The sequence below is a fragment of the Homo sapiens genome, chromosome 13 (assembly GCF_000001405.40).
Source record: "Homo sapiens chromosome 13, GRCh38.p14 Primary Assembly".
Lineage (NCBI taxonomy): Eukaryota > Metazoa > Chordata > Mammalia > Primates > Hominidae > Homo > Homo sapiens.
This window is the reverse complement of record NC_000013.11, coordinates 41553026-41580597: the sequence shown is the minus strand read 5'-3', so window position 1 is coordinate 41580597 and position 27572 is coordinate 41553026. Positions and strand designations below refer to the sequence as shown.

General features: G+C 42.6%; 1 protein-coding gene, 1 long non-coding RNA gene and 1 other non-coding gene across 5 annotated transcripts in view, besides 1 other annotated feature; 2 read left to right on the top strand and 1 right to left on the bottom strand.

The window, feature by feature from the left end:
- VWA8 (von Willebrand factor A domain containing 8) overlaps positions 1 to 13763 on the top strand; it is a 394275-nt gene extending 380512 nt beyond the window's left edge. Inside the window, exons 43-45 of the mRNA NM_015058.2 lie at positions 4760 to 4858; positions 9892 to 10130; positions 12293 to 13763. Of these exons, the coding sequence (NP_055873.1) occupies positions 4760 to 4858; positions 9892 to 10130; positions 12293 to 12401 (447 nt within the window). The 3' untranslated portion in view covers positions 12402 to 13763. The remainder of the gene's footprint in view (positions 1 to 4759; positions 4859 to 9891; positions 10131 to 12292) is intronic.
- MIR5006 (microRNA 5006) lies at positions 12203 to 12312 on the top strand. The gene has a single exon (NR_049803.1). It is a non-coding gene; the product is annotated as a microRNA 5006 (primary transcript).
- A 2743-nt stretch (positions 13764 to 16506) lies between the features above and the next one.
- Positions 16507 to 27572, bottom strand: part of LOC105370174 (uncharacterized) — a 46924-nt gene continuing 35858 nt past the window's right edge. For 2 of the 3 annotated variants that reach the window (XR_941901.2, XR_941902.2), the window contains exons 2-3: positions 21759 to 21906; positions 16507 to 17251 (exon numbers count right to left, since the gene is read on the bottom strand). This is a non-coding gene — a long non-coding RNA (uncharacterized LOC105370174). Of the gene's footprint in view, positions 17252 to 21758; positions 21907 to 26327; positions 26421 to 27572 lie in introns of those variants that run through there. The other variant, XR_941903.3, reaches the window with a different exon arrangement.
- Positions 26546 to 26737: a silencer, noted in NCBI's record as "fragment chr13:42127997-42128188 (GRCh37/hg19 assembly coordinates)". NCBI's record gives its function as "represses an EF-1alpha promoter that drives an FKBP-Casp9 reporter gene in an ReSE screen in K562 erythroleukemia cells {active_cell/tissue: K562}" and the evidence as "EXISTENCE:reporter gene assay evidence [ECO:0000049][PMID:32094911]".

The following is a 27572-nucleotide window of genomic DNA, read 5'->3' as shown; positions in this document are numbered from 1 at the left end:
CCCTTGGCACCTCACCATCCAAGGGAGGTATAATAGACAAACTTTTCTCAAAGATACCTTGATCAGAAAGGCTGAGTTAACTCCCAGGAGAAAGTGGAAACATATGACTCACAAATCAGCACCTGCCAGGGAAATTTCTTCTATCAAGAAGTTAATTCAGTATCTGCAATTAATCTCTTTCCAGTACCTCAAGAATGTTTCACAGGTTTAGAAATGGAGATCAGTCATCCTATCAGTTTAGGCTGTGAATAAATTCTTATTGCTACATGGAGATTGGACCAAAGGAGGTCGTACATACTTTTCTGAGTCCCTTCAAACAAGAATTCAGAATTGATTCAATTGTGGATGTAGAAATATTGGCCAACCCAACCATTCAAAAACAAGTAGAGATGGGAGGGGAGCGTAGCTGGGGAAGTAGTTATTTCTCTGTAGTAAAAACACTGGGCCGGGCACAGTGGTTCATGCCTATAATTCCAGCACTTTGGGAGGCCAGGGCGGGTTTATTGCTTGAGCCCAGGAGTTCAAAACCAGCATGTGCAATGTAGCAAGACCCTGTCTCTACAAAAAAAAAAAAAATACAAAAATTAGCCAGGTGTGGCGGCGCATGCCTGTGGTCCCAGCTACTCAGGAGGCTGAAATGAGAGGATTACTTGAGCCCAGGAGGTTGAGGCTGCAGTGAGCTGTGATCGTACCAGTGCATTCCAGTCTGGCCAATGAGCAAGACCCTGTCTCAAAAGAAAATCAAAAAATAAAAACAACCAAAATGGATTTAGTGTCAGAAAACCTGGGGTTTAACCAACACCCTTAAGGAAGTCTGTTAGTCTCTCTAAGAATCAATTTCTGCATTTGTGACATAAGGATAACACCCCAAAACTTGTAGAGAAAATCAAAATGAGATGAGATATATGGAAGCCCTTTGTAAACTGTAACAAACTATAAAGTCAGTAAGTGTATTGTCCTATCCTTTCAATGACCCTGGGAGGTGGTAAGACAGATATTACCCCATGTTGTCAGAGAGGTTAAGTGATTAACAAGCATACAGTGTTAGAGACTTTCTAAGCCATCATTGTTTACAAGGTAGAAACAAGGTTTAGAGAGGTTAAGTGATTTTTCTCTAAGTCAAAAAGCTTGTTAACGTCAGAGCCTAGAATCCTTGACCTTTCAGTACATTATTCTTTTCACGTTGACTTACATGATCTGAAGAAAGGTTAGCCAGCTAATGCTATAGGTTATTACGTAACTAACACTAGGGTTCCGCTGGCATTTCTCTTGACTTTTTAAATCACATATTTATCTTCTGATCCTGTGTAGCCCGTAGTTAGTGGCACACAGGAGAATGAGAATGGTGTATTTATATTTCTAGAAGGACATGAGAATTTTACACCTAGTAGTTTTAATAAATAGCCTTAGATGATTGTCTCGTACCTACTTACAATGTGGCCGCATAATAAAGCATAGCATCTCCTAAAGCCAGCAAATGGTTGTCCGTCCTAATAGAAATTTACACATAAATCTTATTCATAAAATTGCTAATAGCACTTTGTCCTATGCATTCTAAACATTATAAATCATTCTTATTTGATGATAAACCACATCTTTGACCAAAATTTCAGCATTTGTTTTTGTTTGTTATACTTTTCTCTAAATGAACAACACTTCCAAAAGAAAATATAGCAAAAGGGCATTTAAACAGATTTCTAAAGCAAAAAAGTATTTAAATTGGTCCTCTGCAGTTGAGGCTTTTCTTTACTACTGTGGCTTAATATTTATGTTAAATGCTAAATGTGAGACTGCACAGGGTTTTCAGGAATGCTCTGAAAAGTGCAGAAATCATGATCATAAAAATTTTGAGCTCAGAAAAAATTCTGATCTAAATGTTAGGCGGTTTGATAATGACAGTGAGGATCTTGTTTATTGACTCCTGTAGCTCCTCCATGGAAGCATGCTCGAGGCCCTGTCAAGTTGGATTTCACGATCATCGTAGAAACCAGATCAGGTGAATGGCAGATTTAGGAGTTAGCAAATGGAAATGAATGAGAGTATGCATCTTTTCCATTAACCCACACAATTTTCAGGATTAGCAAATCACTGTTGGTAAACCATGTTGGAATCCTTGGATAGCAGATACTAGATAATTTTGATGGAGGAGTATTGCTGGTAATGGAAGCTTAATATAATCTGCAGTAACGCCAGGGAATGGTCCACATTTGGATGTACTTTAGATTCCTCCCAAGCGTTTTATTGGCTTTGGTCACAGAATAATCCTCAAACCCATCTGGAAGATGAGAAACCAGGGCCTGCAAACTATTTTATAAGCTCCATCCTGTCACTTAGGTGTCTTTGCAAGCCTTTGCAGTACTCACCAGGCACAGACAAAGGCTGGTCTTTCCTTACCCAAATAAGAGATGAGAAAGAAAAAGGAAGGGAAAAAAAGAAGAAAGAAAGGGAAGAGGGAAGAAGGAAGAAAAAGAAGCATACAGTCCACCTTTCTTTGTCTCATTTGCCTAGAAAAGTATAGTATGTTTTTTTTCTCCTAGGCATATATTTAAATGGTAGATAGATATATCAGTCACACAATCAAATGATAGATGGATGGTTGCTAAAGTATTTCTGAAGGTTTTAATCAGCCAGTATCTTGTTTTACTAAAGACCAGCTAAAAACTGTATTTGTTGACTGCTCTTTGACCAGTTACATTGACCCTGTGACAGACCATATGATCAAAGATTTCTATAGTTTCATTCACTATCATCTAATTAGAAAGAACTCTAGCCATCAGTTAAAAGGGAGGGAAAAGTCAAACACATTCATAGCCCTCTTACCTCAGCCCAATATAAGAAACCTAGTTCCGTGTCAGGGAACTGATCTTATTCCCTCATGTGTAAGATCCTGTTTAGCAGATTACTTCACCAGCCCATAATGAAAGCAACCTGCCTGGCACTTTCTCAGGAGAACTTTCCCCTCTTGACTACAAACAGTTCCTGCCATGACCGTTGTCAAATCAGTCGGGGCCTCCCTGGAGTGTGCTTCCATGGAAGGATTATGCAAGCTCTCTCCACATCTGTGCCAATCCTACCACTGAACCCATGGATGACTTTAGTCAAGCCTATGCCGAAGCCAGAAATTTCCTATCCTGAGCAATTTCTAACAGCTGAGCTCAGCTGCTTTTAGTTTCAGTTTTTATTTGGTACCTTTTCACTCTATTGATAGCAAACTATACTAAGAATAATTTTTTTTTCTTATATGGAATGTGTTACATCATTGGAAATCATTTACTGTCAACCTTTTTAATGCATTGATAAATTTCCTTCGCTATTCTTTTATATTTAAACCAGGCACAGAATAATCTCCCACCATCTCACCCCCACCCATGGCCCCACTCTGGCCCTCCTCTGACCATGACCCTCCCATGAGGTGAGGTGTCTATGGGGCCAAAGGGCCTTTAAAGCCTGTTTTTAGATCATGCTCCTGGTACCTGGGATCCCCAACTATTCTCATCAAATGACCCCAAGCCTGCTTCCAAATCCTGCGTGGGCCTCTTTCCTAAGTCCATCTTCCTAGGACAGACTGGCCAATTGTGTGAGCACCCCAAGGTGCTCAGAGGGTGGGCAGAGGGTAACTGTTGTTTATGATGGAGCGATGGAGTGTGGATGTCAGCACTGGGTGTCCACACACATGCATTTGAGGTACCTCATGGGGTGGGCCAGAGCCAACTATGAAAAGAGAAGGGTATGGGCTATGGGCCAGGGGCCATTACTGTCCATGTGACCATGTTCTAGCACAGAACTTCCAGGAACCCAAGTATTTGAAATTTGGCCCTGGCTTTCCAGGTTATTATAACGTATATTTTATCAAAGTGGGAGGACAGAACATGTTTTATTTAACAGTTGGTAGCCTGATGTATATCTTTTACATATTTAGACATAATATATGGGCCTCCATTTATTCCCTCCTGGGGATAACTGTTAGGTCTTCACCCCTAGCCACATCTCTCCCCCAGGACACAAGTTCAGCATATCTATAATGGGACTCATCTTCCCTAGGAAACCCTTCTTCTCACTTCCTATTTTTGCATAACAATTTCAACCAAATTTTTTCTGTTTCTTTCCATTTAAAACACAGCAGTTTCAGTTATGTTATGGATTGTTGTTTGTCAGCTAGCATGGACTAACCACCATTTATCCCATGATTGTTGAGGGGGAAAAATGCATTCCAGCTTCAAACAGCTTATTTGTAGGAGAATGTAGCCCACATGCAAGGGAAAAGCTTCTTATTGCCCCAACTTGATTGCAAACTCTCTTACAGCATTTGTGCAATAAACATGCTAGGCACTCTCTTAGATTCTAGAAATTCAAAGAGAAATAAGCTGTGGCCTCACCTTCAAATAACTCACCATTTTAAAAGGAACATACATGAAAAGAAATAACTGCATTGCTCTACAACACAAGAGTATGTGTAACTCAAAGTTGGAGGGAACTACCTCACCCCAATTATAGTTTACCTCAGACCCCAGACTTTTTTTCCAGACTCTGTGAAAAGGTTGCACTTGACTCCCAGCTCTAGCCTTTCTCAGTAGACAAGAGTTTCTCATGTACATAGTGAGATTAGAGAATTAAACACACTTCTGTCTCACTGCATTTCTTTATGGCCATATGTTGAGCAACTTTGGACAATAATGGTCCAAAGAGTTGAACATTAAAGATCTAATGACTGTTCTTTTGTGGAGAAAAGTTTATAACTTTCTGGTTCTCTTGCATGTAGTATGACATCGTTGGACACTCTGGAGATGGCTACAACATTGGTCTGGTTCCAATGAACAAAATCCCCAAGGACAATAAGCAAAGACTAGAAATTCTGAAGGTAAATATATTTTATTACCTCTGTATTATGAAAGCTTCTATCAGGTTAGGTAAAGACTAAAAGGATTCATTGAAGCAGCAGCAGATACACAGGAAAGAAAAAGACTGTTTCACACACATTCAAGTATTGAACTGAGAAAACACCCATCATGCCTAAAATCCTTTTCTCCACCATATAAAATTTAAAATTTGTCCCCTACATATTTTTAGGACACTTGGATTTAGATTGGGATTCTACAACCTGGGCCCCCTTGTATGTCCTATATGGCTCTTCTCAGCCCCTACATGTGCAATAGAAGGAAAAGAATGACCCCTTTTAAAATTTTTTTATTTCAATAGTTTTTGGGGTACGAGTGGTTTTTGGTTATATGGATGAGTTCTTTAGTGGTGAATTTTGAGATAGTGTACCCATCACCCGAGCAGTATACGCTGTACCCAGTATGTAGTCTTTTATCCCTCACCCCCCTGAGAACCTTCCCCACCTTAGTCCCCAAAGTCCATTATATCACTCTTATGTCTTTGTGTCCTCATAGCTTAGCTCCCACCTATAAGTGAGAACATACAGTATTTGGTTTTCGATTCCTGAGTTTCTTCCCTTAGAATAATGGCCTCCAGCTCCATCCAAGTTGCAGCAAATGCCATTATTTTATTCAGTTTTATGGCTGAGTAGTATTCCATGGTGTATATATACATTTTCTTTATCACTCATTGGTTGATGATGGACACTTAGGTTGGTTCCATATCATTGCAATTGCTAATTGTGCTTCTATAAACGTGTGTGCATGTTGTCTTTTTCATATTAATATAATGACTTCTTTTCCTTTGGGTAGATACCTATTAATGGGATTACTGGACTGAATGGTAGACCTACTTTAGTTCTTTAAGGACTTTCCATACTGTTTTCCATAGTGGTTGTACTAATTTACATTCCCACCAGCAGTGTAAATGTTCCCTTTTCACCACATCCACATATTTGGCTTTATTTCTGGGTTCTCTATTCTGTCTCATTGGTCTACGTGCCTATTTTTATACCAGTACCATGCTGTTTTGGTAACTATAGCCTTAGTATAATTTAAAGCCCTGTAATGTGATGCCTTCAGATTTGCTGCTTTTGCTTAGTATTGCTTTGGCTATCTGGGCTCTTTTTTGGTTCCACGTGAATTTTAGGATTGTTTTTTCTAGTTCTTTGAAAAATAATGATGGTATTTTGATGGGAATTACACTGAACCTGTTGATTGCTTTGGGCAGTATGGTCATTTTCACAATATTGATTCTCCTCATCTATGAGCATTGGATGTGTTTCCATTTGTTTGTGTCATCTATGATTTCTTTCATCAGTGTTTTGTAGTTTTCCTTGTAGAGCTCTTTCACCTCCTTGGTTAAGTATATTCCTAGGGTTTTGTGTGTGTGCAGCTATTGTAAAAGAGATTGAGTTCTTGATTTGATTCTCAGCTTGGTCATTGTTGGCATATAGCAGTGTTACTGATTTGAGTATATTGATTTTGTAACCTGAGACTTTACTGAATTCATTTATCAGACTTTAGGGTTTTCTTTTTTTTTTTTTTTACAGAAAACTTTTCTTTAATGTTGATTTTTGTTTTGTTTTTATGTTTTCAAGTTTATTTTTAATTTTTGCAGGTGCATAGTAAGTTTATATGCTTGTGGGGCACATAAGATGTTTGATACGGGCATGCAATGCATAATATTCACAGCAGGGTTAAAGGGAAATCCATCACCTCAAGCATTTATCTTTTGTGTTACAAACAATCCAGTTGAACTCTTTTAGTTATTTTAAATGTACAATTAAATTATTTTTTACGGCCAGGCACGGTGGCGCACGCCTGCAATCCCAGCACCCCGGGAGGCCGAGGCGGGCAGACCACCTGAGGCCAGGAGCTCGATACCAGCCCGGCCAACCTGGCGAAATCCCATCTCTACCAAAAATACAAAAAAAAATTAGCTGGGCATGGTGGCGGGCACCCGCAATCCCAGCCACCCGGGAGGCTGAGGCAGGAGAACCGCCCGAACCCGGGAGGCAGAGGCTGCAGCGAACCAAGATCACGCCACTGAGGTCTCCAGCCTGGGCGACAGAGCAACACTCTGTCTCACACACACACACACCATATATATGCGTATATATAGAGGTGTATATATATTTTATATATATACATATATATACGTGTATATATTTTATATATACGTATATATATATACACGTATATATAGAGAGAGGTATATATATATATATATATATTTTTTTTTTTTTAAACTATAGCCACCCTGTTGTGCTAGCTAACACTAGGTCTTATTCTTTGTTTGTTTTGAGATGGAGTCTTGCTCCGTTGCTCAGGCTAGAGTGCAGTGGCACAATCTCGGCCCGCTACGACCTCCTCCTCCCGGGTTCAAGCCAGTCTCCTGCCTCAGCCTCCCAAGTAGCTGGTACCACAGGCACGCACCACCATGCCCGGCCAATTTTTGTTTTGTTTTGTATCTTTAGTAGAGATGGGGCTTCATTATGTTGGCCAGGCTGGTCTTGAGCTCCCAATCTCAGGTGATCTGCCCACCTCAAAGTGCTGGGTCTACAGGCGTCAGCCACCGTGCCTGGCTTGTTTCTTTTTTTTTTTTTTTTTTTGAAACGGTGTCTTGCTCTGTCGCCCAGGCTGGAGTGCAGTGGTACATTCTCAGCTCACTACAACCTGCGCCTCCCACACCCAAGCGACTCTCCTGTCCCAGCCCTCCGAGCAGCTGAGATCACAGGCGCATGTCACCATACCCAGCTAATTTTTTGTATTTTTAGTAGAGACAGGGTTCCACCATGCCGGCCAGGCCGGTCTCGAACTCCCGACCTTGTGATCTGCCAGCCTCGGCCTCCCAAAGTGCTGGGACCACAGACGTGAGCCACCGCGCCCGGCCTGTTTCTTTTTTTTTTTTTTTTTTTTTTTTAGTATTTATTGATCATTCTTGGGTGTTTCTCGGAGAGGGGGATTTGGCAGGGTCATAGGACAATAGTGGAGGGAAGGTCAGCAGATAAACATGTGAACAAGGGTCTCTGGTTTTCCTAGACAGAGGACCCTGCGGCCTTCCTCAGTGTTTGTGTCCCTGGGTACTTGAGATTAGGGAGTGGTGATGACTCTTAAGGAGCATGCTGCCTTCAAGCATCTGTTTAACAAAGCACATCTTGCACCGCCCTTAATCCATTTAACCCTGGGTGGACACAGCACATGTTTCAGAGATCATGGGGTTGGGGGTAAGGTTATAGATTAACAGCATCCCAAGGCAGAAGAATTTTTCTTAATACAGAACAAAATGGAGTCTCCCATGTCTACTTCTTTCTACACCAACACAGTAACAATCTGATCTCTTTTCCCCACATTTCCCCCTTTTCTATTCGACAAAGCCGCCATCGTCATCATGGCCCATTCTCAATGAGCTGTTGGGTACACCTCCCAGACGGGGTGGCAGCCTGGCAGAGGGGCTCCTCACTTCCCAGACGGGGCAGCCGGGCAGAGGCGCCCCCCACCTCCCTCCCAGACGGGGCGGCTGGCGGGGCGGGGGCTGACCCCCCACCTCCCTCCCGGACGGGGCGGCTGCCAGGCGGAGGGGCTCCTCACTTCGCAGACGGGCAGCTGCCGGGCGGAGGGGCTCCTCACTGCTCAGACGGGGCAGCCGATCAGAGACACTCCTCACCTCCCAGATGGGGTGGTGGTCGGGCAGAGACACTCCTCAATTCCCAGACGGGGTCGCCACCGGGCAGAGGCATTCCTCACATCCCAGACTGGGCGGCCGGTCAGAGGGGCTCCTCACATCTCAGACGATGGGCGGCCGGGCAGAGACACTCCTCACTTCCTAGACAGGATGGCGGCCGGGAAGAGGCGCCCCTCACTTCCCAGACTGGGCGGCCAGTCGGAGGGGCTCCTCACATCCCAGACGATGGGCGGCCAGGCAGAGACGCTCCTCACTTCCCAGACGGGGTGGCGGCCGGGTAGAGGCTGCAATCTCGGCACTTTGGGAGGCCAAGGCAGGCGGCTGGGAGGTGGAGGTTGCAGCGAGCCGAGATCACGCCACTGCACTCCAGCCTGGGCAATGTTGAGCACTGAGTGAGCGAGACTCCGTCTGCAATCCCGGCACCTCGGGAGGCGGAGGCAGGTAGATCACTCGCAGTCAGGAGCTGGAGACCAGCCCGGCCAACACGGCGAAACCCCGTCTCCACCAAAAAATGCAAAAACCAGTCAGGTGTGGCGGCGGGCACCTGCAATCCCAGGCACTCTGCAGGCTGAGGCAGGAGAATCAGGCAGGGAGGTTGCAGTGAGCCGAGATGGCGGCAGTACAGTCCAGCCTCGGCTTTGACAACTTTGGTGGCATCAGAGGGAGACCGGGGAGAGGGAGAGGGAGACGGGAGAGGGAGAGGGAGACGGGAGAGGGAGAGGGAGGAGGGAGAGGGAGACGGGAGAGGGAGACGGGAGAGGGACAGGGTTTTCTAGATATACAATCATATCATTGGTAAGCAGAATGACCGCTTTTAGAGTGCTCCCTGTCCCCAATTTTATGTGTAATTCATTTCACACACTTAAGCCTGCAACAGAAAAATGCACATCACAATTTTAAGTCACTTTCCTCCATCGTTATTGACGTGAGTACAATGTTTTTAGTATTATACCTTTGTTTATTGGAAACTCAACTCATTCCTTATTTTCCTCCTGTGTCATCTGCATCCTCCAATGTGATACCAAGTTTTATATTTTCTTATATTTTCTCACTTTAAGTGGAAGTGCAAGCTTCCACTTAAAACTAAGTGCCCACTGTGATAATTTTGGAATGATATCCTATATCTAATGAAATTCTATGCCAGATAACAAATATCACTGTATACTGTTGTCACTCAAATATGCAAATTAAATAGAACTAACTTAGAATGTACTACTCATGGGTAATAATTGGTATGTATGCATGCTCATGGTCAATAGAAAAATAATCGTATTTGTTAAAAAAGAAGTTTCTCAGCCATGGCTTTTGTGCAACTTCTTTTACCTCCAGACAATGCATGCCCACTCTCAGTTCTGCATGAGTGGGGACCACACGTTAGAAGGGACAGAACATGCCATCAAGGAAATTGTCAAAGAAGAAGCTGATGAGTACTTTGTCATAGTCTTGAGTGATGCAAATCTGTCACGATATGGAATACATCCTGCTAAGTTTGCTCAAATCCTCACAAGAGACCCTCAAGTAAATGCTTTTGCCATTTTTATTGGCTCTTTAGGTGATCAAGCAACCAGGTAAGTGTCATCTGAGCATACAGAAAAGGGCAGGTACAGAGATACTGAGTAGCTAACACATGCTGTTTTATAGGCTTAGCACCATGAGGGACAGTGAGGCAGATGGAGGAAAAACAGAAACTAAAGTTACTAGCCTCAAGGGGTTTATAATCTAGTTGAGGGGATATGTTCTAGCTTTTGTTTAGATGAACAATAATAATTTTAAATTAATTATTTTTTAGTTTATATTTAAGCCACTAATAAATCATTGACAAATTGATTTGTCACTAATAAACCGGGTAGTATTTTATACATTTGGCACTTTATGTCAAGCTCCTAAGCTCAGGCTAATCATTTTGTGTTCAAATCATATTAAAAATCGTGAACATCTACTATTTTCCTAGCATAGGAGATAGTGTGTGTGTATGAATGTCTGTACATATTAGACATATATATACACACATATGTATTATATCCCCATAGAGACATCACCTACATATATGCATGCCTGTATATATATATAGACACACTCACATGTATCCCTTCTTATTGCTGGAGAGACAAGGCAGGTGAAACACTTGGCGACAACATAAGATAATATACATATAGTTAGATACTACACTGAATATACTAAATATTCAATAGAGAATCTTATGATCAGACAATAAATACCAGTGGGTATGATCTGAAAGGAGAGATCTGGAAACACTTTCATAACTTGAACACAATAACATTTATCTTTTTGAATTACAAACAGAAAGAGCTCATGGTTTTTCTGTGTTTAAAATACCTGTAAGAAACATAAAACACCAGTGAAAGTAATCTTAAAAAAAAAAAAAAAAATCCCTGCCTAAAGCACAAAGGGCCTACGTTTTTGTTATTCCACCCCTTTTACTTTTCATACTCTGTGACTGGAAATGTTTTAATATCCAAAATGCTAGCAGCTTTTTCTCTTTCTATTCCCTTTGCCTTGCTGTAAGGTTGCAGAGCGAGGTTGAGAACAGACTTAATATCATGTAGTTACAGTCATTTTATGACATGACTTTTCATTCTTCTTAGTTTTTACAAGTTAGCACTTTGCATCTTTTAGAACCTCCACATCCTCAAACACAAACTATGCCTTTTCCACCCAGGTTTTCCTCAGCATCAGCCCAGTATTAGGCAGACAACAAGCTCAACAAATACTAGTTGAGATGAAATGGCTATTTTGTCTTTCTAGTGAACAGATCCTGTTTGAATACTTAAGAAAGCACAATAATACCCTTGTGGTTTCCTAGGGAAATGGTCCAACATCCACTGGCAAAAGATATGTTGCAGAATTAGCTGGCTTACCAGGCATGCCAAATATACGATACTACACAGGATGGTTGAATTTTATTAAATGTCATTCCAAAGCCAGACTTCACTGGCACAGTGAAAGGAGGCGTTCTTTTGAAGAGAACTGTGTCTTACAGTTTTGTTGCCTTCAAAATGGCCTTTTGTTCCAAATTATAAATTAGTATTTAAAAAAGTATCGTAACTTCAATGACATGTTATTTTTAAGGATAATTCAAATCAAAACCCATTATAAGTTTTTTAAAATTCACTTAAAAATGAGTTGGAAAAAATTTCATAAGCCTGTATAACCTCAGTGTCATTGAAGCAGTAATTGGACAATCCAGATCGCATTTCACATTGTGTGATGTGGACCAAAAAAAAGAGAGAGAGGCAAAGAAAGAGAGAAAGAACCACTCAGGGTTTGGCTGCGCAGCGTTTTTAGAGGCCTGTTTTCTAAGGAAGGAAAAGCACTTCGAAATACAGTGTAAGGTCAACATATTTGCTAGACCCGGGAGGTGAGCTGATTCCATATGAATCCCTATGGCTCTGTTATACCAAAAGAATATGAAATACCAAGAAATGGCAGTAAAGAAAGGAAGAAAATTTTTTCTTTTCAAATTCACTGACTTTCTCACTGAAAAGACCTTTCTTTCAGTTCCCTGCTTTTGCTGTGTCTTTCCTTGTTGCTCTTCCAAGCCTTTCATTGTTTAATGACGACTAATTCAATGGTAGGCAGAGAGCAAGGTATTAGAAAGTAAAAACTTCCTTTCCTAAGAAACCATTAGGGGGCTGTGGTTTGCCAGGGCAGGAGGTGGAAGGGAGCCCCATTTACAGTGGTAACTTCCTTTCCCTTTCCATCCTGGCAGGCTTCAGAGAACTTTACCAGCTGGTCGGTCTTTCGTTGCCATGGATACCAAGGATATCCCTCAGATTTTACAACAGATCTTCACCTCCACCATGTTGTCGAGTGTCTAAGAAGTGCCCTTCATCACCCTGATGACACCAGGATTTGAAATAAGACAGGAATAAAGAGTATTCTGAAAAAAAGAAGATATGGATGAAGTGAACCCATGCAGTGACTGGATGATTCCGGCATTCCTGGGTCTTCCTACACTTGCTCCGTAATGAGAATTCAGAGAAGCAGCCAGAAGGAGACTTAAACATGGAAAGATACTCCACTGATGAGTTTAGAAGTGATTAGGGCAAGCTAGTTGACCTGCACTTTATCAAAGGTTGGGGTTAAAGGAAGGTGGTTTTGAGAACTATGTGTTTGGTCTATTTCCAAAAACCTGAGGGGGAGAAAATACTTTGCTTTTGCCTTAACACATCATCTGGTCACGTTAGAAAAGTGACCCCATCAAACTGAGCCTTTGATGTCACATTCTGACACAAGATGCAAGTCTGTGCAAAACCCACCAAAATGCTCCTATCCAACAATTATTTTTATTTTCTCCCTGCTCTGTATTGACCAGAAAACAATGATTTTATAATATTTAACCCACCAAAAAGTCCCTCCAACAGCAATATCTTATGAAAGTCTGGCTGTTCTCAATAATTTCATTTTCTTGGCCAAAGCCAAAAGGAATCAAAAAATCCTTGGAGTGCTTGCCTTTCCACGTGACTTTTAAAAGGCTCTTAAAGAGCAAATGTCCTCTTCTCCTTGCTGCTAGAGTGGGAGGAGAAAGATGTCTTGCCTTAAAAGTTTACTGTTTCTTCTGTTCTTCTAGCATCTCTCAAAAAATTCACAGTACTCCATTTTGGGGTCCAAACTGTAATGCTCAAAATAATAAATGCTTACACGAAAATTATTTATTGAGAATATTCATATAAAAATTACCTAAAGCAAAGTAAAAAAAGTAAAATCAAGGTGGTATATTTGAAGTGAATGGTGATTGGAAATTTTTAGCTGTAACAAAAAGAAAGAAAACAACTTTTTTTAAAGCCTCATTCTCTTTTCTTTCAAAATGTACCTTATTCCCACACACTCTTGGGCTGACCTTTATTTTATCAATAAGCTCAATATTACTTTGTTTAAAATAAGATGCTTCAGCAAAAGTCATTCTCTCTTTAACCATATAATTTAAAAACTCCTCTTCACGATTGATAGCAAAATCAGAAACGTTAGGGCACCAGTGAGTTGAAAAAACTGGTCTTAAGTTGGAAAAACTATTATTAATAATATTATCCTATCCATCCATATCTATTGAAATTGTACAGGTCCATAATTTCATTTTAATTAATTATAGGAAAGAAGAAAAGATAATACCCATTTGTTCTATCACCCCTCTCCCTATCATTAACTATCAAATAAATAAATAAAAGCAATCTGATTTCCAACGTGGTACTACCTGGTGAGTTTGCATGGCTTTCTTGTTCCTCTAGTGAGACACCTGCTCCATGTATTGAACCATTCAATGATGCAAACAATTTCAATCCAACATGTATCTTTAAAAATGTAATTGCATTCCAACGGTCGCCACAACAGCAGCTAGCATTTACTGATGATTTACTGTGAACCAGGTATATGCTAAGTGATTGCATACATTATTTCATTCATCCTTACAACAATGCATGTAACAGGGGTATTTTTTACCTTATTTTGCAGATGATAAAGAAAGTGAGGCTCAGAGAATTTAAGTCACTTTCCCAAGATTCCTGTTACTAGACCTTTCACTAACTATTCATGGTACCATTAACATCCTCATTTTACAAGTAAAGAAACTGAGGCTTAGAGAAGTTCAAGAAAATAGGCCACACTCACAGCCAGGCAGGGGCAAAGCTGGGCCTCCAGCCTCCAGGCCCCTTAATGCCTTTGCGTCCCTCGCAGTCCCACGCCCCTTGCTGCATCTCACAAATGTACATGTCACACTCCTGCTGCCTTTTTCTCTTCCTTCCAGTGTGACTTCTCTTCTTGTACCCTGTCCACATTCACAGGGCTCTCTTCCTCTCCCTTTCCTCAGAAAGTCTATCTATCTGCCCATATTCGAGCACTCAGAGGTGTGGGGACCGAGGACATGGGACACTGTCGGGGGAACACTTCTAACTGCTGCTTCCTTGCTAGGCACAGCAGCAATCTGAGGAAGTGCCCTTCCAAGTGGCAGCTTAACCCCAAGGGATGCCCCTTAGCTAGCGGGTCACTGCCCCTGAAAGCCTTTGGAAGTGGAATCCAAGGGAGATTAAAGGAACAGCCAACCTTTAGCAAATCCTCCCCATGCGTAACTACCTGAGGAGGCAGAAGCCATTTTTTTTGACATGGAAAGAATGTTCTCAAGTAATTTAATTTACCTTTCTCGACCAGCCAGACATCCTCTGCAATTGCTATTTTTAAAAAAGCACAGTACTCCTGGCTTTTCTGATTTGTGAAGGGGAAGGATGATGGGGAAAGGGAATTGAGACTGAGAAGACGAAGAGCTTATTTTCACTTCTTGCAATACCTAAGAAGTATGTGCATTTATTATTAAATGTACTTAATTATAGACCACTCCAAGCTGTTCCCAGGCCCTTCTTAGGGCCAAGACATTATAATAAATGCATTGTGTGCCTCGGGGGGTTCCACTGAAAGGCATCTAACCCCTGTCTCCTTAGTAAGCACATGTAATGCTGAGAAGGTTCATTGTTACCCATGAGCAGCCAGGAGGAATGAATGCCGTGAATAGCTGCAGTATATGATGCATATTCCCCCTAGAATCCTCTGTGTGCCCGACAAAATGACCTCATCACAGATGGGGAGGCTCAGCACAGCCATAAGAAGTGGATCAGAGGGGGAGTACTTGAAGGGAACCCATCAGATGTTTGGAATGAATCACTTAATTCTTTATACTACACTCTTTCCTGTGAACTGTCAGAGGAGAAGAAATCCATCAATGCCAGCAAGATTTTCTCTAAACAAACTCCTGGGCTTTGAAAGCCGTTTGGAAGTGGTTTTCAGTAGACAGCATTGTCATTGTTCCTGAAAGACCAACCTTGGAGGCTTCCAGCCTCCCTCCACCTGGCTCCTTCTTGTGCCTGTCAGATCAGGCAAAATTAAGTTTCTAAGTGAATAAAGCTGGGAGAAACAGACAAGGGGAACAACAGGAATAGTGGCTTATTTGCTGCATTTCGATTTGTTTCCAATGACCACAATTGTAAGATACTCCACAAATTCTAAGCCAGCCTCTCCTGCCTGGACAACTTGTTTCTGGAATTGCATCTAAGGAATAATCAAATGTCGACTTATATTTAATACATCGTACATAGCTTTTTAATCTTATTAAGAAACAAAATGTCCACTTTTATCATTTTTTTCCAACCAGTAACATAAATGGCTTTGAAAAATACTTAAGTCCAATTTCTGGTCAGGATTATATCATAAGGTTCTTTTTCCTTTTTCTTTTTTTTTTTTTTTTTTTGAGATAGGGCCTTGCTCTGTCACTCAGGCTGGAATGCAGTGGCACAATCATAGCTCACTGAAGCCTCAACCTCGTGGGGTCAAGAGATCTTCCTGCCTTAACCTCCTGAGTAGGTGGAACTACTGGTTCATGCCACCATGCCCAGCTAATTTTTTTTTTTTTTTTTTTTGGTAGGGACGGGGTTTCACCATGTTGCTGAGGCTGGTCTCAAACTCCTAGCCTCAAGCAATCCTCCTACCTTGACCTCCCAAAGTGCTGGGATTACAAGTATGAGCCCCTGCACCCAGCCATGAAAACCTATTGCCTTTTCTTTACTCTTGTTCTAAGACTTACTATGGCAAAAGTACTACAGGTAATGGAAAGGAATTCCAATTCTCCAGCTTATCATGGGGAGTAATTGCAAACTTTAGGTAGAATTTGTCTGTGACCCTGCTCAGCTATTAAGTGCCTGTGTAAACTTGGGCTAATCACTTCTGGGTCTCAACTGAATTAAACCTACGATTTAAAGGGATTGGATGTGAAAATCCACTGCTCCATTATCTCAAACAGGAAATTGAGATAATTTACAAGAGCCACACACTTCAGTGCAACTTTTGTCTCCAAAACCCCACACATGCAAAAGATAACCTATCTCCTCAGTACACAGAGGATTTTGGCACCTATATCAACTGCCTTAAAATAATGTTACTGACTGAATATGCATACTAAAATTTATATAAACATCATTAAAATGGAACAAAGGAGGCTTTCCCTCGTCAGCTGAAAGGATTATTTCTGTTTGATAGTTATTTACAAGATTTCTGCCTATTGTCTCATGCTTTGCACTTGGCTGTCTTAAGATAAAATTACATGTCTGCTGATGGGCACATTGAAAATCAAAAAGGATCAGGAATTGGAAAACTACTGCGTGCCAAGAGCTGACCTTTGTTCTGCAGCTGAACAATGAGTAATTGTGTGTGTGTGTGTGTGTGTGTGTGTGTGTGTTTGTGTGTGTAACTGTTAAATCCTGTAAACAAAATTTCCTCCAGAGAGTAAAAAATGCTTGCCAAGCAAACATCTCAAGTTGAGGATGACATGACAACTCTTTTTTGAGACTTAAGCACTGCCTGGGGCTTTTGCCTTCAGAGACCGCATCTGTTCTTGCATGGTGGTGCACGTTGGCTTTGGAATACCAAGACTACATAATTTTAAAATCAAGTGGTGTTTGTGGTATTTGGCCACGCAGAGCAAAGTATAACATTCTTTTAAAGTGGTTTGCATCCTGGGGGTGGGAAGAACGTCATGTTCTGCTGTAAGAAATCTCACCAAGGGGACATGTAAACTCGGAGCGTCAGCTACTTCTCAAGATTCCCCTCTTCTGCAGGTGCCAGAGACTTGGAGTCTTCCCTCTTTTCCAAAGGCTTCAGTGGAAGTACTTTGGGGCTGCTAGCTCCTTCCCTGAAGGAACAACCAGAGTGTGTGAATAAATTCAGACTCCAAAGATGGTGAGTGTGACCACAGAGGAGTTTCAGAATATAAGAATGTATTAATATGAAATGCAGCTCTGAAGCATTAAGTCATGGTAGCTGGGGTTTGACCTGGAAATGGAAGAGAACAGTGTCTCTCTGAACATCCTAAAGCAAGTTTGCTCCTTACGCAGGCCAGAATACGGCAAGAAAATCATGAGCCTGTCAAGAGTACTCTGTGTAATTGGTCTCATGACATCATGGCTGTACATGAAGCCTTACTGATTGAAACTTGAAGAAAAATAAGTATATTTACTCAGAGGGGACATTAAAGTTGGATTTTTCAAGTGCAATGTGTTTATATTAATAAATACTGCTGCTAATTTAACGAGACTGACCGTTTGTTTACTCCAGCACTAATTAAGTCTTTCATCATCAGGACTCCAGAAATAGAGTGAGTCTCGACAAAGCTAGCTGATCCATTTCCTTTTACAAAAGATTTTATGGCCCATATGAAATTCAGGCCTAAAAATGGCCTAGAAAGGAACACTTGCAGCCCCAACAGAAATCAAATAGCAAAGCTGGGGAAGCAGCCTGATTGACTTGCCTCCTAGGGGTGGCTCCTACAGAGCCTGAGGCTGCTGGGGAATCCAAGGGCCTCTGCAACAAGCGGATGCTCAGATCAAGGGTGTTACACACAAAAGAAGAGCAGATGACAGGGGCTACTGGGGAAGGCCAGGGTTGAGTTAATGGATCCATGGGTTGAATAATAAAATTGTCTATTTGGCAGTTGGCAAAGAGAGAATATTTAACTGAAAAGTTTCCTTCAGGGCTCCAGTGTTGGAACAGCTATTTTCAAGGCTGATAGAATATGCATGTCCATCCATTGCAGGCTCAAGTACAAAGATTTGATATTAAATATGTAGTGCCAGAACTGAAGAATCTCTTTTTGCATGACCTTTCGTGGTGACTGGAAGAAACGGGTATACTCTGCAGAGGTGGAAGATTGTAGCAGCTCCACAAAACCGCATGAAAGCAGATATTCAGTCACTTGGCTGGAATGCAGCTCCACACAGCTGGCCTGGCGCCGTGCCCCGCAGCATCTGAAGTCTATCTGTACAGTGGTGTTTCCCTGCAAAAGGGGCTTCTCTTTTCAACTACAAGTTGCCCTGACGGGCTACCATCATGCACCCCTTGGTCCAAATTCTTTCATTCCCATGCTTTCCTCCTAACCCCCACTGGTAGGAAGGTCCTTAGACAGAGGGCCTGTGATGGGTTGAGGAGATAGAATTGGCTGGGGGCATTTGCAGCTTGGAGCATTACTCAAGCAGAGAACCCAGACCTGGGACACAACGTGAGGGCAGGAGATATGGGAACCTTGGGTGACATTCTTGCCTTGGGCATATATTCTGCTGTCAGGCCTCCTGAGAGCACTCACTGAAGGCGGTGTTGGGTTTGGATGGCAGTGCCTTGGTTCTCCTTAGTCTTGTTTTTGCAGAGACACCCAGTTTTCCATTTGTATTTTTGCCTCCATCTTATAGAAGTGCTCTGCCTTTCTGACCTCTGGGTTATGGAGGCAGGCGCAGCATGCATGTTAGGGAGGTAATTTCCTAGCTGTGATGAAAGGCCTCTGGCCCAGAGGAAGGGCAAGGCCTTTGAAATTGGACATCTACTCCACAGCCTCTGGGCCATTATTTGATGATGTGAACAAATCAGCTTTTTTTTTTTTTTATTTCTAATTTGGGTTGCCAAGAAAACTCTTGCCCTGTACTGTGGGCCTTTAGGAAAACAATTTATACCAAGAGGCCACTACAGTTCTTGGGAGCCACTTCTCTTTCCTTGCAGAAACAGGGCCTGGGTCATGCCCCACTGTTCGGCACGACAAGACATGAGGAAGTTCTTGTGGAAAGCGCACTGGAATTCCTGAGCTCCAGCTGGGTAAGGACTTAAATGAGATCAGTGTGTGCCTGTCAAACTCAAAATCGAAATATATCCCTCCTGTTGAGTGTAAGTATTGAGTACATATCAGTGGAGCCTCCTCCACTAAGAAGTTTTCTAAAGTGCCTGTGATTCAGCCTTTAAGAAGAAGCTGTTGTGTAACAGTTTTTAAAAATCCTTGAGTATTATTTCCTTAGCACTAAAAAGACCAAGTGCCTCTGAAAAAATGAACGTGGCCTTCTAAAAACAAAAAATAAAAACAGCTCTTTTTTCTCTTTAAGATGGTTCTCTTCGGGTACAGTGGCTCATGCCTGTAATCCCAACAATTTGGGAGGCCGAGGCGTGAGGAACACTTGAGCCCAGGAGTTCAAGGCCAGCCTGAGCAACACTGGGAGATCCCATCTCAACGAAAAATTTTTAAAAATTAGCTGGGCATGCTGGCCTGTTCCCTCTCCCCAAACCCAGGGAGAACCCTGACTCAGTTAGGCACTCAGCTCCCAAAAGAACTGGTCCCTTTAGTCAGTTCCTTCTCGGGGGAGTCTTAGAGGCTAAGCCTAGGCAGCCATGTTTTGGCATATGCAAGGAGAATAATTAAAAATATTACTATTATTACATAAAATAATAGCAATAGCTAACTCTTACCTAGCACTTCCCATGCGCCAGGCACTTCCTGAACACTTTACATGGATAAACTCATTATATCCTCACAGCTCCTTCAGACAGGGACTGTTCTTATTCCCATTGTATTTGAAAAGCAAAGAAAACCAGTCTACCCAAAAAGAAAAAAGAAAAAGTCAACTTGCTGACTGAAGGAGAGAGAAGTAAATACGGCACCCTGGAACTCTAAGAATGTGACTATGGGTCCTAACTTTCCAACGTCTGGTTGCGGTTCCTTTGGGGGCTTGGATGGACCCCCTTCCTAGATAGAGACCCATAAGATGCCTTGGTGTCCTCCCAGCCACCCCCTTTTCACTTAAGCTAGCTTGGGAACTATGGCAGAGTCATTTACTGCTCACACATCTCCCATATTTCTCTGGGCCCTTGCAGTTAGGTCAGGACGGTGAGACTGGTTCTGGCCACTGGGCTGTGAGCAGAAGTGATGTGTCAATAGTGGGCTAAAGCCTTTAAGAGCTAGTAGGCAACCCTCCAGCTCTCTTTCACAGAATCGGGGTGACGGAGAAAACTATGTGTTTTAGATGGTGTAGCTCTACCTAAGATAGCAAAGCTTCAATGAACCTGGGATCCTGGGTGTTATGGACTGAATATTTATGTTCCCCCAAAATTCCCGTGTTAAATCCTAAATGCTGCTGTGATGGTATCAGGAGGTGGGGACTTTGGTAGGTGATTAAATCATGAGGTGAAGGCCTCATTAATGGGATTGGTGCATTTAAAAGAAGAGACACAAGAGCTCTGTCCCACTCTCCACCATGTGAGGATATAATGGGAAGATTGCTGTCTGTAAAGCAGGAAGCCAGCTCCTACCAGACACTGGACCTGCTGGCACCTTGATCTTGGACTTCCCAGTCTCCAGAACTGTGAGAAATAAATGCTTGTGGTTTAATCCACCCAGTCACCCACAGTAATATGTTATAGCAGCCCAAGCTGACTAAGACACTGGGTGATGGTATGGATCAGAGACCCCCACCAATTTGCACAGCAGCCTAACAAATATAGGAGGTTAGTTAGGTTTGTTGTTTTTCTCATAACCTAATGCTCCCAGATTGAAATAAAGACCAAGAAATCCAGTAAAATTTGGATTGAAGGAAACAGTTCCTTGCTGCTGGACAGCTATTTCATTACTTGGGTCACCACCATGCAAGGCACTCAGAAAATGAGAGAAGACATTTAAGACCCTTCCCTCTAGGTGTTTTCAATCAACTGGGAAAACAGGATGCATCACCAAAAGAGTGTGGAGAAATAACTCAACAGCATTTGACACCAGCTTCTGTGGTCCTGAGGCAGTAAGAATGGCCCTAGGTGCTCACCACACTCTCTCATCATTCTTTCCATATCGGCCTTCCCTATTGTGGGAGGAACAAGAGCAGGGATCAAGTCTTGTTTATCTTTGGCCTGGCCCTGAAAAGTGGTTAATAAATTTTTGCTGAACAAATAGCTGTGGGATGGGGAGGCACCATGGGCCTGGGAGGCAGAACAAGTTCTGGCTCTGAAAAGCAGGCAAGACCCACATGAGCCAAGAAGAGTCAAGGAGCCCCAAAAGAAAGGGAGGGTAAGTGTAGTTCAAGCAAAAGCCTGGATTTGGAATGTCCCAGGGTAGCTGAGCTGGCAGGCCTCAGAGGACTCTTCTCCTCCTCCTCAGCTACCACCATCCAGCCAAGCAGCTCTAGGCAAGGCCAGACCCTGAAAAGCAGCCTTATCCTCACAGCCACTGTGGTGGCCTCTGGGCTGCCCAGCTGTTGACCCCAACCTTGACTGGCCAGGGATAAGGTGGGAGGTTGGCCGGGCAGCCCAGGCCTGCCTGGAGCCCAGGGTAATGATAGGTCAACAGAGCAGGCCTCATTATGTGGAGCAACTTCGTGATGTGGCTGTTTTGTTTTACTTACATTTTTTTTTTCTTCTTGAAAATGAGCTGAGAACCTTCTTTACCCAAGATTACAAGTTGGGTTGGTGATGAAAGGTCTGTCCTGTGCAGAAGGAGCCCTAAGGCAGGAATTTGCAAGTCCTTTTGTTGAAAATGGCTTGTTCTATGGCCTAAACAAAAACAAGAAAAAAGGGAAATCAACAGGGAGCATCAGAATCATCTCAGCCTTTGTGAGGCTGCCTGGGATTCTCCGGCAGATCATCATGGCTGCCAAACATTCCTACCTGCACACAACCCAATAAGACACCTAGATTAATAAATCCCTAGAAGACTTTAGAGAAAATCACTTGGCCCATGTTCCCCAACCCAGGCAAAACTGTGCTTCAGTCAGTCACTTTGCAAAGAGCCCTGAACAACATGGATTAGTCAAATGGAATGAATGCACAATGGACAGACAGAGGGACGGACGGATGGATGAATGCATGGTTGGATGGATGGATGGATGGATGGACAGATAAATGAGTGGGTGGGTGGTGGGTGTATGGATAGGTCAAAGATGAGAAAGTCTACCCTATTTAAAATATCTTAGGGAAAAGAAATTCCCAGGGCTCCTGTTAGTACCCATGATAATAGGGCAGCAGAGGAGGCATCTCAGCTTTAGCCCAAGCAGGAATTTTGCCATATCTGCTAGAGTGGTAGCTTGGCCACCCCTAATCCATCCACATGAGAGATGAGAAAACAACTGGAAACAATTCCAACTCAACGGAAGAGCAAATCAGACACACAAGCTTGACCCTGTAACAAAATCTTAGTAGTGGCAGGGACAAGGATGGCTGTGTGACATTGAACATGAATTTGTGTCTAGATCAGTCCCTGGTGACAAGCAGATACCCAGGAAGCTGTGCCCAGATAGTGGCACATAGTGACACCCAACAGAAACCATTTTTCTCTGGGTACCTGAGACAGTTCCAAGTGACCACATGCTGCCTAGCAAGCCCCAGAGGTATTGGCGCAGATGACCTTAAGTGCATGGACATTGGATTCAAATCATGACCCCATACTAACTAGTTTTCTGTCCTAAAAAATAAAACATTTTTTTATATTTTGTACTGAAAAATACACATAATAAAACTCACCCTTTTAAAGTGTACAATTCAGCGTTTTGGAGTAGATTCACGAAGTTGTGCAAACATCAGCAGTCCCTAATTCTACACCCCATACTTGCTAGTAGTTACTTTGCATCACTCCTCCTGTCTCCTGGCACCACTAGTTTACTTTCTGTCTCTATGCATTTGCCTGTTCTGAACATTTCACACAAATGGATTTATACATTGTGGGACTTTTTTTTGCTTCCTTCACTTACCATAATGTTTTCAAGGGTCATCCATGTTATATCATGAATCACTATTTCATTTTTTTTTACAACCAAATAATATTCAATTACATCAATATACTCTACGTTTTGTTTATCCATTCATCAGCCAATGGATCTTTTGGTGAATATGAATAATGCTGCTATGAACATTCGTGTTCAAGTTTTCGTGCAGACGTCTGTTTTCAGTTCTCTTGAGTATTTAACTAGGAGTGGAATTCCTGGGTTGTAAGATAACTCTACGTTTAATTTTTTGAGGAATTGCCTGATTGTTTTCCAAAGTAGCTATACCATTTTACATTCCCACCAGCAATAAAAGGGTTCCAATTTTTCCACATCCTTGCCAACACTTATTCTCTGTCTTTTTGACCATCGCTGTCCTAGTGGATGGGAAGTAGTAACTTGTGATTTGAATTTGCATTTTTCTAACGACTAATGATATTGAGCAACTTTTTTTTTTTTTAATGGAATCTTGCTCTGTCACCCAGGCTGGAGTGCAGTGGTATGATCTCGGCTCACTGCAACCTCCCCCTCCCAGGCTCAAGCAATTCTCCTGCCTTATCCTCCTGAGTAGCTGGGATTACAGGCGTGTGCCACCACACCCAGCTAATTTTTGTATTTTTTGTAGAGATGGGGTTTTGCCATGTTGCCCAGGCTGGTCTCAAACTCCTGGACTCAAGCAATCTGCCCACCTCAGCATCCCAAAGTGTAGGGATTACAGGGGTGAGCCACCATGCCCAGCCCAATATTGGGCACTTCTGTATGTGTTTATTGGTCATTTGTATATCTTCTTTGGAGAAATGTCTATTCAAATCCTTTGCCCATTTTTAATTGGTTATTGGTCTATTTATTGTTCAGTTGTAAGAATCCTTTATGTATTCCAAATACTAGACCATTATAAGATATATGATTTGCAAATACTTCCCCCATTTTGTGGGTTGTCTTTTCACTTTCTTGATAGTGTCCTTTGAAGCATAAAAGTTTTTAATTTTGATGAAGTTCAATTTATCTATTTGTTTTTGTTTGCTTGCATTTTTGGTGTCATAGCTAAGAAACCATGGCCTAATCCAAGGTCATGAAGGTTTACATGTATGTTTTTTCTTTTAATAATTTTACAGTTTAGCCATTTAGGTCTTTGATCCATTTTGAGTTAATTTTAGTTTATAGTGTGAAGTAGGGGTCCAACTTCATTCTTTTATATGTGAATATCCAATTTTCCCAGCACTACTTGTTGAAAAGACAATTATTTCCCAATTGAATTGTTTTAGTATCCTTGTCCAAACATAATTGACCCACAAATAAATGTATGGGCTTATTTCTGGACTCTCAATTCTATTCCAGTGATTTATGTGTCTATCCTTATGCCACTACTATACAGTCCTGGTTATTGTAGCTTTGTAGTAAGTTTTGAAATTGGAAAGTATAAGTCCTCAAACTTCGTTCTTCTTCTCCAAGGTTATTTTGGCTGTCATGGGTCCCTAGAACTTCCATATAAACTTTAGGATTTGTTTGTCATTTCTGCAAAAAAGCCAGCTGGGATTTTGGTAAAGATTCCGTTGATCTGTAGATCGATTTGGGGAGTCTTGCCATCTAACAATATTAAGTAACTCAATCCATGAACACAGGATGTCTTTCCATTTATTTAGCTCTTCTTTAATTTCTTTCACCAATGTTTTGGAGTTTTCAGTGTATAAGACTTACACTTCTTTTCAAAATTTATTCCTAAGTATTGTATTCTTTTTAATGCTATTGTATATGAAATTATTTTCTTAATTTCATTTTCAGGTTATTCCTTGCTCATGTAAAAAAATACAATTGACTTTTATGTATCGATCTTATGCCCGGAACTTGTTTATTATTTCTAATGGAGCAAGTTAGAACATCACAATGCTTACTGCTCTTACTAAGATTCAGCCATTTTTCTTAAGTAAATGCTACCCAGATTGCTGTAAGTGTTTACTAAATTTCCAGAGTTTCGGAAAAGTTGAATTCTGACCATTTTTGCCAGGATTCATATTGCCTTTATGGAGAAGAGTGTTTTTTGAGGTCCTTATTCCACCATTTTCACTGACATCACCCAGCTTAAGGAAGTTTTCTATGCCTCCATTTCCCCAACTGCACAATGAATTTCTTATCTTTCCATAATTTTTTGGAGATGATTAACCAGGTAATGTGGTAAAGTACCTGACATTACCTGGCACTAATAGGTACACAGGCAACTTGTTGTCACCAGACACAGGAAGGAGCTGGTGATGGATGTTCAGTAGCTGCCTGGCCGTGTTTGTGAGCACACAGCCGTGCAATCCTCGCAAGACTGAGTTTGTACCCAAACAGCCTCCTGGCTGGGCCCCAGCCTGGGTTATAGTCAGTTCCTCAGACTCAAAACCTACCTTTCCCTCCCTGTCTCCCACAGTGCACCACCTCAGTGTCCGCTCCCTACCCCGAACGTGTTACCACTCCTGGAGGGGCTGAATGCAATTATGCTCACAAGGCCAAGTGAGGTCCACAAAGCCCAAAGGCAACAAAAGCCATCTCAGGCCTCAGCCAGGTTGGGGGAGGCAGAAAAATCCATCCCTTTAAACCACACCAGCTCCACTCACCTCCAGAGGTCAGCCCTGGTTAGTAGGACCTTCATGAGTGGTTCTGAGAAACTAAACCTGGAGGCTATGTGGTCTGTGGTATCAAACTGAGAGAGCAATTGAGTCATGCAGTTAACCTGGACGCCCATGCAGTGCCTTCTCCTGGCTGCACAGGGCTCCCAAGCACATCAGCTCAGCCTCAGTAGCTCTGAGGGGGGTTCATGAGCTGGGCGCGCACAGCTCCATCCAGATGCTCCACTCACACCCACACTCCCACCGCTGGCCTGAGCTCCTGACCAACTTGACAGCTGTTTATCCCCTTTTCTGGAAAAGCCTCTCGCTCCACCCCTACATGCTCACCCTCAGTCTTTTAAGGTCTGGTTCACATGACCTCCCAAAAGACCCACCCTGGAATCTTCTTTGCAACTGCTTTTCCTCATACATGTACTCATGCATTCAGCAAATATTTGCTGAGCACTTGCTGTGTTTCAGACACTATCCTGGGTGCTGGAGGCACCACAGTGAACTTGCTCTTAGGGAACACACATTCTAGGGGAAAGAGCCTGCAAGTAAACAAGTAAATGTATAATATGTGGGTGGTGACAGATTCTGAGAATGAAAGGAAAAAGGTGGCTCATACCTGTAATCTCAGCACTTTGGGAGGCTGAGTTGAGAGGATCACTTGAGCCCAGGAGATTGAGACCAGCCCAGGTAAGACAGTGAGACCCCGACTCTACAAAAAAATACAAAAATTAGGCAAGTGTGGTGGTGCATGCCTGTAGTCCCAGCTACTTGGGAGGCTGAGGTGGAAGGATTGCTTGAGCCCAGGAGGTCAGGGCTGCAGTGAGCTGTGATCAGGCTACTGCACTCCAGCCTGGGCAACAGAGTGAGACCTTGCCTCCAAAAAAAATTAAAAAAAAAAAAAAAGCGTTAGAATTCGGTTAGGGGACACTATTTTAAGTAAGGTACACAGGGAGGCCTCTCTGATAAGATAATAACTGAAGACAAACCTGAAGGAAGGAAGGCAGTGAGCTGTGCAAATATCAAGAAGGGTGTTCTACTCAGAGGGAACAGCAAGTGCAAAGGCCTTGCAGTGGGACCGTGGGAATCTTAGAGAACAGCAAGGAGGCTGGGGTGGCCAGATTGGCATAAATGAGGAGGAGAGCAGCAGAAAATGAGCCCAGGAGACAGCAGGCACCAGACCTGGCCAGTCTTAGAGATTACAGTAAAAATTTGGGATGTCCCACGATGTAAGTTTAGAATCCAGTGAAGGTTCTGAACAGAAGGGTGACATACTCCGAATTGCATTTTGAAAGGACTGCTCTGGGTGCCACGATGAGAATAGACTGTGACGGGCCAGGGATGGACTCAGAGGGACCAGTTAGGAGGTGGTTGCGGTAATTCAGACCTGACAAGATGCTAGCAGAGGTGGTGAGCAGCCGTCAGAGTCCGGATATATTTGGAATGTGGAGCCAACAAGATTTGCTGATGGATTAGATGTGAAATGTGAGAGAAAGAGGAATCAAAGATGACCATAAGTCCACTGGCTTGCAATACTGAAAACATGAAGCTGCCATTTATGGAGATGGGGAAGCCAAGCACATGGAGTAGAATGGGTGAGCCTTGACCTTGACCTTCTGCCTCCAAGGTCATGCTCCTCCCTCACAGATGCAGTCCCAGTTATGGCATGACATGACTTTAGCGGTGTCTTCCCGAGCCATTGGCAGCCATCTGCAAGTTTTATCTTTTGATTTGAGGCACCTTGGACTCTCCAACTGAGATCCTCTTTCCTCCGGTCCCGTTGTCCGAATGTACTGGGAAGCAGCAGGGCTTGTCCAGGTCATGGTGGTGACAAGAGGCAGCTGGCTGGACACCCCTGTGAGCA